Source organism: Homo sapiens, chromosome 5, assembly GCF_000001405.40.
Source record: "Homo sapiens chromosome 5, GRCh38.p14 Primary Assembly".
Taxonomy (NCBI): domain Eukaryota; kingdom Metazoa; phylum Chordata; class Mammalia; order Primates; family Hominidae; genus Homo; species Homo sapiens.
In genome coordinates this window covers 151,542,280-151,555,118 of record NC_000005.10, presented here as the reverse complement: position 1 = coordinate 151,555,118, position 12,839 = coordinate 151,542,280, and the positions used below count along the sequence as shown (strand labels likewise).

Below are 12,839 nucleotides of genomic sequence, written 5' to 3'. Positions count from 1 at the left end.
GATTTCATTGCATGCATCAGGCCACGTGCACATGTCTGACTCAAAAAGTACCACTCATTCCCTCATCAACATTTTCTCATTTATTTTCTCTAATCGAGCAACTTAAGGAAACCAGAGAACTAAAATTATGAAAAACACAAGCAAGTAAAAAGTAGGTAGTCTCTGAGAAATGGCCCAGGGGTTGTCCCACATAAACAGCACCAGCTTTTGTCTAGAGACTCTGACTCTGTCTTCTTCCAGTTCTTTCTGCTTCCTTTCTCTGTTCTCACTGGCTTTCCCAGGGGCAAAGTTGCCAGAGAGCTGAGTTCCAAGTAGGTGAAGTTATGATAATAAAAAGTACAAGCTCATACCAAAGAACAAAGTGACTACTATTTCCAGGTTGTTAAAGCATAGTCACTAATTTGCAATTGTCAGCTCAGGTGCTCATGCTCAATTCTGCTCCCAGGTGACTGTGCTGGACAATGGGGAACCCTCACTGAAGTCCACCTCCAGGGTGGTGGTAGGCATCTTGGACGTCAATGACAATCCACCTATATTCTCCCACAAGCTCTTCAATGTCCGCCTTCCAGAGAGGCTGAGCCCTGTGTCCCCTGGGCCTGTGTACAGGCTGGTGGCTTCAGACCTGGATGAGGGTCTTAATGGCAGAGTCACCTACAGTATCGAGGACAGCGATGAGGAGGCCTTCAGTATCGACCTGGTCACAGGTGTGGTTTCATCCAGCAGCACTTTTACAGCTGGAGAGTACAACATCCTAACGGTGAGCAGACAGAAGGAAGCCACGGAGGGAGGAGTGGCATGCTGGTTAGTGGCCTTCTTTGAGAATTCAGGAGGAGGGAGACAGCCCACCAGCATAAGGGAAATGGTACTCTCCTTCCTGGCCTTCTCCCAGAGAAACTGGGAGTCTCAGCTTCAGCCAAAGGATCAAATTCTGGGTCCTTCTCTTTGAAGGCAATAAGGTCTTTGCCTGGGAAATCCCCTCTATTCTTAGAGAGAAGGATTTAGTGAGAGTAACAGGGGCTTTGGAACCAATAAGCCTGGGTTCCAACCCTAGTACTGCCATTTTACACCTGTGTGATGTTGGACAAGTCGTTTAACCTTTATCATTTGTAAAATGGAGATAAGAACGTCTTTCTTGTGAGAAGCCAATATATCAGGTAGCTAGCGCATGGGTGCTTACATCAGTCAGCCTGAATTCAACCCCAGTCTCATTGCTAGCCAAGCATTTCATCTGGCAGGTGAATCGACCACACTGAGCCTTAGTTTATTCTTGTAAAAGACAGATGATAACAGGACCTCTTCCAAGGTTATTGTGAGGATTAAATCAGATATTGCGCACAAAGCTCTTAGAACAAGGCCTGATAATAGTGAGTGCTCAATAAATTCTAGCTTGTTAGGTTTATGGTAGTTGGGAAAAGCAAAGGGCATATGTATGTAAAGTTCAATTTAGGAAGTAGCACACAGTAAGTCTTCAGTTAACAGTGGCATTTATTATTTTTATACTAACCATGAGGTTCTTGAGCACAGGTTATACGTTTTGTTCACCACCGTGCCTGCAGCAACTGGCAGGGTGCCTGTTTACAGCAAGCCTTCAAGTATGCATCAGATGAATGAATGACTGGATGAGAGGCCTGCTTGGTCAGAATCACAGGACGCTCTGGTTCCTGTCCTGGCTGCTTGGGTCTTCCTGTCTCTTGGCCCCAAACCTCAGTTTTGGTGTTGGCCTCCTTTCAGATCAAGGCAACAGACAGTGGGCAGCCACCACTCTCAGCCAGTGTCCGGCTACACATTGAGTGGATCCCTTGGCCCCGGCCGTCCTCCATCCCTCTGGCCTTTGATGAGACCTACTACAGCTTTACGGTCATGGAGACGGACCCTGTGAACCACATGGTGGGGGTCATCAGCGTAGAGGGCAGACCCGGACTCTTCTGGTTCAACATCTCAGGTGAGGCAAGGCCTAGGGCCCAACAAGGGCCAACCCCTCCCATCCTTATACACCAGCTCTAGTTTTCCTGCTACAGTCCTTCTGACTCTTCTCAAGGTCGGGCTCCTCGGCAGCCCCTCTTTCAGCCCGGAGTGGGGACTGCCTCTTCCCTGGTTCTCTGGGAGCACAGGCAGTAAGAATGCCACGTCTGCCAAGCTTTCCTTTCACTCCAGCCACGATCTCTAACCCCAGCCAGAGTTGGCAGTGCCTCAGTTACCCCAAGGGCCTAGGAGACCTAAAATGGTTCAGGAAGACCCAGAGCAGAAATGCTTTGTGTTTCCTTTCCTACCTCAATGTGAAAATCATAGTTGACCGTGAGCCTGCCATAAGCTATACCCTGGGGCCATGCTCAATGTTTTGGCTCCAGGTTTCACCCTTGAGATCAGGGGAAAGTGCCCATTCTCATTCTACGAGGCACTTGGATCCGGGCTCTGATGGCCTTCTCTGAAATTCCTCTCTGTCTCTAAATCAAGGTTTTGTTTCAACATCTGGGGGTCACAGAACCCTTCAGGAATCTGACGAACGCTTAGGTCCTCTTCCCAGAAAGTTGTGTGCACAAACACACACAAATGTAAATCTGCATACAATTTAGAGGATGTATAGGCCCTTTGAAACCCATCCAGGGATTCCAGGTTAAAAATCTCTAGGAGTTTCAGCACCCACATGAACATGGAGTCCTGGTACAGTTTTCTGTCCTGGCTAAGAGTAGGATAGGATATATGCCCTTGACCCAAGCTCTTTGAACCTCCTGAACTTACTTCCAGTTCTGGCTTACGGCTGTTTTGTTTGACTTTTTTTCTTTAATACCAAATTAATGCATGTACCCTCTAAAACATTTCAAAAACACATATGGGCTGGGCACAGTGGCTCGCACCTGTAATCCCAGCTGCTTGAGAGGCTGAAGTAGGAGGATCACTTGAGGCCGAGTCCAAGGTTACAGTGAACTATGATTGCACCATACACTCCAGCCTGGGTGACAGAGTGAGAGCCTGTCTATAAATAAGTAAATAAGCACACACAAATGAATGCAGAGAAGAAAATAAAAATCACCTAAAGTTCCACCAATCAGAAGATAATCCACTGTTATAATGTTGATGTGTTTCCTTTTTGTCATTTTTCCTTTACACACACACACACACACACACACACACACACACACACCCTTAGGGTTATATTAAAGTATTGTTTTATAATATTTTTAAATGTAATATATCATGAACATATTTCCATGTCACTAAACATATTTCTATATACTAGACATTTAAAAATATGTTGTTACATTTGGATTCTTATAGTTTATTAATCAATTTGATTTATTAATAAAATTCAAATAAAAATAACTTGACAACAACTTGACAGAATAAATTACAGTTTTGGGACTCCCTGGGAGAATAAACTACAACCTGTCACTCAGATCTTGTACTGTGGAATTTACCACCGTGTCCTCTGAGCCTGACAACCAAAGCCTATCTTATGCTATGCTGCCTAAATCACTGAGGTTGTGTGTGCTTTCTCCCCACTCCCACTCTAGGTGGGGATAAGGACATGGACTTTGACATTGAGAAGACCACAGGCAGCATCGTCATTGCCAGGCCTCTTGATACCAGGAGAAGGTCGAACTATAACTTGACTGTTGAGGTGACAGATGGGTCCCGCACCATTGCCACACAGGTTAGAGGCCTCGGCTGGGGACCCCTGTATTGAGAGGAGATGGAAGGCCTTCTTGGTTGGGATGAGGCTACAGAGGTTTTCTGTGGATGTGGTGTTCCTCAAGGAACACTGAATTTAGAATCAAAGTTCTTGTCTAATACACTCTCTACTTCTGTGATCCTGGGAGAATTCTTTCTCCCACTCTGGATCTGTCTATAATTGGAAGCTTGTTTAAATGAGCAGTTTTAATTAAAGATAGAGTACAATGGGGCTACTATGGGTATAGGGGGATGATGGTTGGGTAAGTGGGGCTCTGAATTTCTATTCTAGCTTCAGCCAGTGTTTTATCTGTTTCTTACATTTGGATTTCACACAACATTTCACTTGATGGAAAGGCCCTTCCAGAAAATTTTTGTTTTTGAAAAACACTAGACTGTGCAGCATCTGAAGGTCTTTTGATTTTGAAATACTGTCATTCATTCAACAAATATTTATCAAGTGATTGCTGAGTGCCAGGCACTGTGCTAGGCCTGGGTGATACAGGGAGGTCCAGACAGACCCAGTCCCTGTTCCCCTGGGGCTTGCAGTGCACCTTCTCCCTCATCTCCCTCCCTAGGTCCACATCTTCATGATTGCCAACATTAACCACCATCGGCCCCAGTTTCTGGAAACTCGTTATGAAGTCAGAGTTCCCCAGGACACCGTGCCAGGGGTAGAGCTCCTGCGAGTCCAGGCCATAGATCAAGACAAGGGCAAAAGCCTCATCTATACCATACATGGCAGCCAAGACCCAGGAAGTGCCAGCCTCTTCCAGCTGGACCCAAGCAGTGGTGTCCTGGTAACGGTGGGAAAATTGGACCTCGGCTCGGGGCCCTCCCAGCACACACTGACAGTCATGGTGAGTAAATGGAAAAATCTGGTGAGAATACGTTTGCATGTAGATGTGTAGGGGTGGACATGCTTGGAGACATGCTGAAGGTCCCCCTTCCCCTCATAAGGACCATGCACGAGACAGAGTTGTGACATTTCACAGCTGGCTAAGGGCACCTTCCATAAGGGATGCCTGGAAGTGAAGGTAGAGATGGGACGGCTGCCAAGGAAACTCCTGTCAACCTCAGCTTTCTCTGGACTCACCCCAGATATTTCCCAAGAGCTCTCTCCCTGCTCAGTGACTTCATGACACAATGTGGATTCATGTAATGTCAGAGCTGGAAGGGACACAGAGCCTCTCCCACTGAGAGCAAGGACTAGGGTCAGGCCAGCAAGGCATGCAGGACACAAAATGTAAGGAGGGCTCACTCTCTGGGCCATGTGCCTGCATTTTTATGACCCCAAGAGTCAGAGCCTCTTTAAATTTTGCACCCTACTTGCCTCACTTGCTTCCCCCTAGTTCTATCCCTGACCCTGCCCATTTGTCTCATCTTACACCTGAGACCCACAGAGAAAGACAGACTTCCTCACTGTCATACAGTTATTTATGATGGAACCAGAATCGGAGCCTGGCCTCCTGTCTTAAAGATCAGGGTTCTTATGTGCTAATTTATCATCCTCTGGGCATATAATACGTATTCAAGGCTCTGAGAAGTCCTGCAACAAAGAAAACTGTTTGACTGCATTTAATTCAGTGCTCCCCAAATTTATGTGACCATATAATTTTTTTTTCCTGCATGACATGTTAACATCTTGAAGAATGAGTATTCTCTGAGATGTAATTTGGAAAACACTGCTTCTCTGCCTATTTCTGTCTTTCTCCTAAAATAGAATTATCCATTAAAACAGCTGAGCCTAGGAATCATTGACTGATCCATTTACATAAATGAAGAAAAAGAGCATATAGATTAGAACAACATTTAAAAGAATATGGGGAGTTAGTTACAATTGGGCATATTTTAAATTGGCATTCTAGTTCATTAACCTTACCCTAACCCTGCCTCCTCCTATTCCATTTGCTGCTTACCCAATTACCCCCTTTGGGCCCATAGGTCCGAGACCAGGAAATACCTATCAAGAGGAACTTCGTGTGGGTGACCATTCATGTGGAGGATGGAAACCTCCACCCACCCCGCTTCACTCAGCTCCATTATGAGGCAAGTGTTCCTGACACCATAGCCCCCGGCACAGAGCTGCTGCAGGTCCGAGCCATGGATGCTGACCGGGGAGTCAATGCTGAGGTCCACTACTCCCTCCTGAAAGGTGAGAGGCCTGGCCATGAGCTCAGAGGATGGGTCAAGATGCTTTAGAAATAAAGGAAAGCACTAGAGGCATGAATTCGCAAATTAATCAAGTACCAAGCTCATTAAGCCTTGGCAAACAATAATTCTAGAGCATTCCCTGGGACTACCTAAATTAATGCACTTCCAAAGGTAGTAATAACATAATTACTACAATATGAGTAAGGACCACTCATGCTGTGGGAGAATTTGCATATATATTATATAAACCCACCAGTGACCAAACATGTAGAAGATATTTATGAAGTCCATGCAACATTTAAAAATGTAATAACTTCATGCATGTATCTTAGAACACTTTATGAAGTGTATGGCATAGTTTTAGAAGTAATTTTTATTTTCTGATAAGGCTCCACAGTGATTTAGTATCTATTTTATGGGTTTATCTATTTTATGGGTTTCTTCATCTCAAAAACGGGAATAATCTTACCTGTGCCAGAAAGTCATTGCAAAGATTAAAAGAGAAAATGTATGTTGGCCAGATGCGGTGGCTCACGCCTGTAATCCTAGCACTTTGGGAGGCCGAGGCGGGCGGATCACCTGAGGTTGGGAGTTCGAGACCCGCCTAGCCAACATGGTGAAACTCCGTCTCTACTAAAAATACAAAAATTAGCCTGGCATGGTGACATGCACCTGTAATCCCAGCTACTCGGGAGGCTGAGGGAGGAGAATCGCTTGAACCTGGGAGGCAGAGGTTGCAGTGAGCTGAGATTGCACCATTGCACTCCAGCCTGGGCGACACAGCAAGACTCCATCTCAAAAAAGAAAATGTATGTTAATACATGTTGTAAATTGAAATATTATACAAATGCCAGGGGCTATTACTATCATTGATAAGTGTTAATTATAAGCAATTACTATAACAAAAGCGATAATATCCAGTATCCAACTAATTATTAATGATAATTTGTAATAATTATAATACATAATTAATGATATTTAATAGTAATAATTATATTTAATAATAATACTTCATAGAGCTAGTTGCTATGAGAAACCAAGAAGAAAATAATTTGCTGTCTGCCCTCACAAGACCTAATGTTCATTTATTGCATGTCAGTAGCTTATACAGTAGCTACTGGTACTGTATAAAGCCAGTAGCTTTACCTTTTCTTTTTGGAAGAAACAGTTGCCATATAACAGAAGTCTATTCACCGCTGAAGAAGAATATGGATTATAATGCATTGCTTGCTTTTTGTGATTTATGAAATGAAATCACATCTTTTATCTCATTGACAACCTCATTGATGGAGATAATGACTTTATTTTCCAGATTAGATTAGTTTTAAAATATTCTTCTGATTATAGAAGTAACACATGCTCATTTTTGAAAACACGAAAAATACAGGAATGTATAAAGAACACAACACATAACCATCATTTTCATCACCCCAAAAGAATGATTTTCTGTCTTTCCCTCTTATCTTCCCCTATGCATATTTTTGTAATATTGAGATCATAATGAATATACAATTTTGTGCCCTGATTTCTTTCTTTCAGCAGTGTGATATTATATAATAAATTATAATCGGAATCACATGTAGGTTGTTGACTTAGCTGCTTTTAATGGAATCACTTTAAAACGGCTACTCATTAAAACCATGTTCTTTGACTGAATTTAGCGGTTATATGACAAATCACCTAACCAGTCAGCTGGAGAAGGGCTTCAAAGGTGGAAGAATCAGATTGAAAGTTTTATGACAAAACTTAGCCATTTGCCTTGCCACTGAAATAATAAAATATGCTCTCACGTGATAGAGGGAATAAGACATGTAAAGTGCAGTATTTTCTCAAGTGTAAGGCCTGTATCTGTGGTGGTGAGCAAAACAATTCAAGTATTACTCATTTAATGGCATTAAAAGATTATTGGGCATGGAGAAAGCACTCCTCTTTAAATTATTCAAGCTCCCTGATAGAATGAAGAACAAAGCCTCTGTTGGGTTCTAGAATGTCTTTTAGTCTTCTCTAACACCTGCCACTCTTTGTTTACCAAAGAAAGAGGATAGCTCACAGGCTCAGACCTTTTGGCAAGCAGTAGATTTTATCTCAATTTTAATACGGTATTTTTTCTTTGACTTCTTTTTATGGTAACTTCTGATTTATGGTAAGCAATATGGTGTTTTTATTTAAAGAAGCAACATAATGTTACCTTTAAAAATATTTATCAAAATTTGAGTGAGTTAATTTAAAGGAAAACATCAATTAAATAATAGTGTAACATAACATAGGCAATGGATGGATATTGAAAAAATTATAAAGGTGATGTGAGAATGCCTAGAGTTTAGGAAATACACACATGGGGCAAAGATATTTGCTCAGGAGCCTTGAGATATGGGTGTTCTATATAACCAAAGCTATTAAAAATTATATTAAAAATGTAGCCAGGCACGGTGGCTCACACCTGTAATCCCACCAGAGGCTGAGGCTGGAGGACCGCTTGAGCCCAGGAGTTTGAGGCTGCAGTGAGCCATGCTCACATCACTACATTCCAGCCTGGGTGACAGGAAAGACCCTGACTCTAAAAAAAAAAAAAGTTATACAAAAGATGGTTAAAAATTCTGTATGATGCAAACTGAAGCTTTTCCTACAAAAGGCATCACTGAAATTCAGGGTGGAGTGTGTTTTCCTATGGAGTCTCCTTTTTTGGTTTCAAAGACCTGCTATAGCTTTGGTTTGTAGCTTAAGTTGTGTCCCAGAAACTTAGTGATAATTGATGGTGATATGAAGCACCTACTATGCACACCATGTTAGAGATTTTATAAAGTATCTACTCTATACACTATATCCAGGGTGGGTATACACTATATGCAGATTTTGCTCTGTCCAGGTTTTGTGTGATAGACCCTTTACTGATCTAGAAAGCCTAGCTGATACCTGTCGAGGGTGTGGCAAACTTGTTTGTCTTGTCTTCTGTTTCAGGGAACAGCGAAGGTTTCTTCAACATCAATGCCCTGCTAGGCATCATTACTCTAGCTCAAAAGCTTGATCAGGCAAATCATGCCCCACATACTCTGACAGTGAAGGCAGAAGATCAAGGCTCCCCACAATGGCATGACCTGGCTACAGTGATCATTCATGTCTATCCCTCAGATAGGAGTGCCCCCATCTTTTCAAAATCTGAGTACTTTGTAGAGATCCCTGAATCAATCCCTGTTGGTTCCCCAATCCTCCTTGTCTCTGCTATGAGCCCCTCTGAAGTTACCTATGAGTTAAGAGAGGGAAATAAGGATGGAGTCTTCTCTATGAACTCATATTCTGGCCTTATTTCCACCCAGAAGAAATTGGACCATGAGAAAATCTCGTCTTACCAGCTGAAAATCCGAGGCAGCAATATGGCAGGTGCATTTACTGATGTCATGGTGGTGGTTGACATAATTGATGAAAATGACAATGCTCCTATGTTCTTAAAGTCAACTTTTGTGGGCCAAATTAGTGAAGCAGCTCCACTGTATAGCATGATCATGGATAAAAACAACAACCCCTTTGTGATTCATGCCTCTGACAGTGACAAAGAAGCTAATTCCTTGTTGGTCTATAAAATTTTGGAGCCGGAGGCCTTGAAGTTTTTCAAAATTGATCCCAGCATGGGAACCCTAACCATTGTATCAGAGATGGATTATGAGAGCATGCCCTCTTTCCAATTCTGTGTCTATGTCCATGACCAAGGAAGCCCTGTATTATTTGCACCCAGACCTGCCCAAGTCATCATTCATGTCAGAGATGTGAATGATTCCCCTCCCAGATTCTCAGAACAGATATATGAGGTAGCAATAGTCGGGCCTATCCATCCAGGCATGGAGCTTCTCATGGTGCGGGCCAGCGATGAAGACTCAGAAGTCAATTATAGCATCAAAACTGGCAATGCTGATGAAGCTGTTACCATCCATCCTGTCACTGGTAGCATATCTGTGCTGAATCCTGCTTTCCTGGGACTCTCTCGGAAGCTCACCATCAGGGCTTCTGATGGCTTGTATCAAGACACTGCGCTGGTAAAAATTTCTTTGACCCAAGTGCTTGACAAAAGCTTGCAGTTTGATCAGGATGTCTACTGGGCAGCTGTGAAGGAGAACTTGCAGGACAGAAAGGCACTGGTGATTCTTGGTGCCCAGGGCAATCATTTGAATGACACCCTTTCCTACTTTCTCTTGAATGGCACAGATATGTTTCATATGGTCCAGTCAGCAGGTGTGTTGCAGACAAGAGGTGTGGCGTTTGACCGGGAGCAGCAGGACACTCATGAGTTGGCAGTGGAAGTGAGGGACAATCGGACACCTCAGCGGGTGGCTCAGGGTTTGGTCAGAGTCTCTATTGAGGATGTCAATGACAATCCCCCCAAATTTAAGCATCTGCCCTATTACACAATCATCCAAGATGGCACAGAGCCAGGGGATGTCCTCTTTCAGGTATCTGCCACTGATGAGGACTTGGGGACAAATGGGGCTGTTACATATGAATTTGCAGAAGATTACACATATTTCCGAATTGACCCCTATCTTGGGGACATATCACTCAAGAAACCCTTTGATTATCAAGCTTTAAATAAATATCACCTCAAAGTCATTGCTCGGGATGGAGGAACGCCATCCCTCCAGAGTGAGGAAGAGGTACTTGTCACTGTGAGAAATAAATCCAACCCACTGTTTCAGAGTCCTTATTACAAAGTCAGAGTACCTGAAAATATCACCCTCTATACCCCAATTCTCCACACCCAGGCCCGGAGTCCAGAGGGACTCCGGCTCATCTACAACATTGTGGAGGAAGAACCCTTGATGCTGTTCACCACTGACTTCAAGACTGGTGTCCTAACAGTAACAGGGCCTTTGGACTATGAGTCCAAGACCAAACATGTGTTCACAGTCAGAGCCACGGATACAGCTCTGGGGTCATTTTCTGAAGCCACAGTGGAAGTCCTAGTGGAGGATGTCAATGATAACCCTCCCACTTTTTCCCAATTGGTCTATACCACTTCCATCTCAGAAGGCTTGCCTGCTCAGACCCCTGTGATCCAACTGTTGGCTTCTGACCAGGACTCAGGGCGGAACCGTGACGTCTCTTATCAGATTGTGGAGGATGGCTCAGATGTTTCCAAGTTCTTCCAGATCAATGGGAGCACAGGGGAGATGTCCACAGTTCAAGAACTGGATTATGAAGCCCAACAACACTTTCATGTGAAAGTCAGGGCCATGGATAAAGGAGATCCCCCACTCACTGGTGAAACCCTTGTGGTTGTCAATGTGTCTGATATCAATGACAACCCCCCAGAGTTCAGACAACCTCAATATGAAGCCAATGTCAGTGAACTGGCAACCTGTGGACACCTGGTTCTTAAAGTCCAGGCTATTGACCCTGACAGCAGAGACACCTCCCGCCTGGAGTACCTGATTCTTTCTGGCAATCAGGACAGGCACTTCTTCATTAACAGCTCATCGGGAATAATTTCTATGTTCAACCTTTGCAAAAAGCACCTGGACTCTTCTTACAATTTGAGGGTAGGTGCTTCTGATGGAGTCTTCCGAGCAACTGTGCCTGTGTACATCAACACTACAAATGCCAACAAGTACAGCCCAGAGTTCCAGCAGCACCTTTATGAGGCAGAATTAGCAGAGAATGCAATGGTTGGAACCAAGGTGATTGATTTGCTAGCCATAGACAAAGATAGTGGTCCCTATGGCACTATAGATTATACTATCATCAATAAACTAGCAAGTGAGAAGTTCTCCATAAACCCCAATGGCCAGATTGCCACTCTGCAGAAACTGGATCGGGAAAATTCAACAGAGAGAGTCATTGCTATTAAGGTCATGGCTCGGGATGGAGGAGGAAGAGTAGCCTTCTGCACGGTGAAGATCATCCTCACAGATGAAAATGACAACCCCCCACAGTTCAAAGCATCTGAGTACACAGTATCCATTCAATCCAATGTCAGTAAAGACTCTCCGGTTATCCAGGTGTTGGCCTATGATGCAGATGAAGGTCAGAACGCAGATGTCACCTACTCAGTGAACCCAGAGGACCTAGTTAAAGATGTCATTGAAATTAACCCAGTCACTGGTGTGGTCAAGGTGAAAGACAGCCTGGTGGGATTGGAAAATCAGACCCTTGACTTCTTCATCAAAGCCCAAGATGGAGGCCCTCCTCACTGGAACTCTCTGGTGCCAGTACGACTTCAGGTGGTTCCTAAAAAAGTATCCTTACCGAAATTTTCTGAACCTTTGTATACTTTCTCTGCACCTGAAGACCTTCCAGAGGGGTCTGAAATTGGGATTGTTAAAGCAGTGGCAGCTCAAGATCCAGTCATCTACAGTCTAGTGCGGGGCACTACACCTGAGAGCAACAAGGATGGTGTCTTCTCCCTAGACCCAGACACAGGGGTCATAAAGGTGAGGAAGCCCATGGACCACGAATCCACCAAATTGTACCAGATTGATGTGATGGCACATTGCCTTCAGAACACTGATGTGGTGTCCTTGGTCTCTGTCAACATCCAAGTGGGAGACGTCAATGACAATAGGCCTGTATTTGAGGCTGATCCATATAAGGCTGTCCTCACTGAGAATATGCCAGTGGGGACCTCAGTCATTCAAGTGACTGCCATTGACAAGGACACTGGGAGAGATGGCCAGGTGAGCTACAGGCTGTCTGCAGACCCTGGTAGCAATGTCCATGAGCTCTTTGCCATTGACAGTGAGAGTGGTTGGATCACCACACTCCAGGAACTTGACTGTGAGACCTGCCAGACTTATCATTTTCATGTGGTGGCCTATGACCACGGACAGACCATCCAGCTATCCTCTCAGGCCCTGGTTCAGGTCTCCATTACAGATGAGAATGACAATGCTCCCCGATTTGCTTCTGAAGAGTACAGAGGATCTGTGGTTGAGAACAGTGAGCCTGGCGAACTGGTGGCGACTCTAAAGACCCTGGATGCTGACATTTCTGAGCAGAACAGGCAGGTCACCTGCTACATCACAGGTAAG

At 44.1% G+C, this 12,839-nt stretch overlaps 2 protein-coding genes across 11 annotated transcripts in view; one reads left to right on the top strand and one right to left on the bottom strand.

Annotated features, from left to right (window-relative positions):
- Window positions 1–12,839, bottom strand: part of SLC36A1 (solute carrier family 36 member 1) — a 211,490-nt gene that overhangs the window by 967 nt on the left and 197,684 nt on the right. Inside the window, exon 11 of one of the 3 annotated variants that reach the window (XM_011537595.3) lies at window positions 1,468–2,974. The exons of the other annotated variants lie outside the window; for them this stretch is intronic. Coding sequence (XP_011535897.3) covers window positions 2,926–2,974 — 49 coding nt within the window. The 3' untranslated portion in view covers window positions 1,468–2,925. Of the gene's footprint in view, window positions 1–1,467; window positions 2,975–12,839 lie in introns of those variants that run through there. 3 annotated transcript variants of the gene reach the window in all.
- Window positions 1–12,839, top strand: part of FAT2 (FAT atypical cadherin 2) — a 90,728-nt gene that overhangs the window by 39,701 nt on the left and 38,188 nt on the right. For all 8 annotated transcript variants that reach the window (XR_007058588.1, XM_017009225.2, XM_011537600.3 and 5 more), the window contains 6 exons: window positions 446–757; window positions 1,732–1,942; window positions 3,513–3,652; window positions 4,248–4,529; window positions 5,614–5,824; window positions 8,782–12,834. Coding sequence is in view for 7 of the 8 variants with exons in the window: in XM_017009225.2 (XP_016864714.1) it covers window positions 446–757; window positions 1,732–1,942; window positions 3,513–3,652; window positions 4,248–4,529; window positions 5,614–5,824; window positions 8,782–12,834 (5,209 nt within the window). In the remaining variant the exon portion in view is untranslated. The remainder of the gene's footprint in view (window positions 1–445; window positions 758–1,731; window positions 1,943–3,512; window positions 3,653–4,247; window positions 4,530–5,613; window positions 5,825–8,781; window positions 12,835–12,839) is intronic.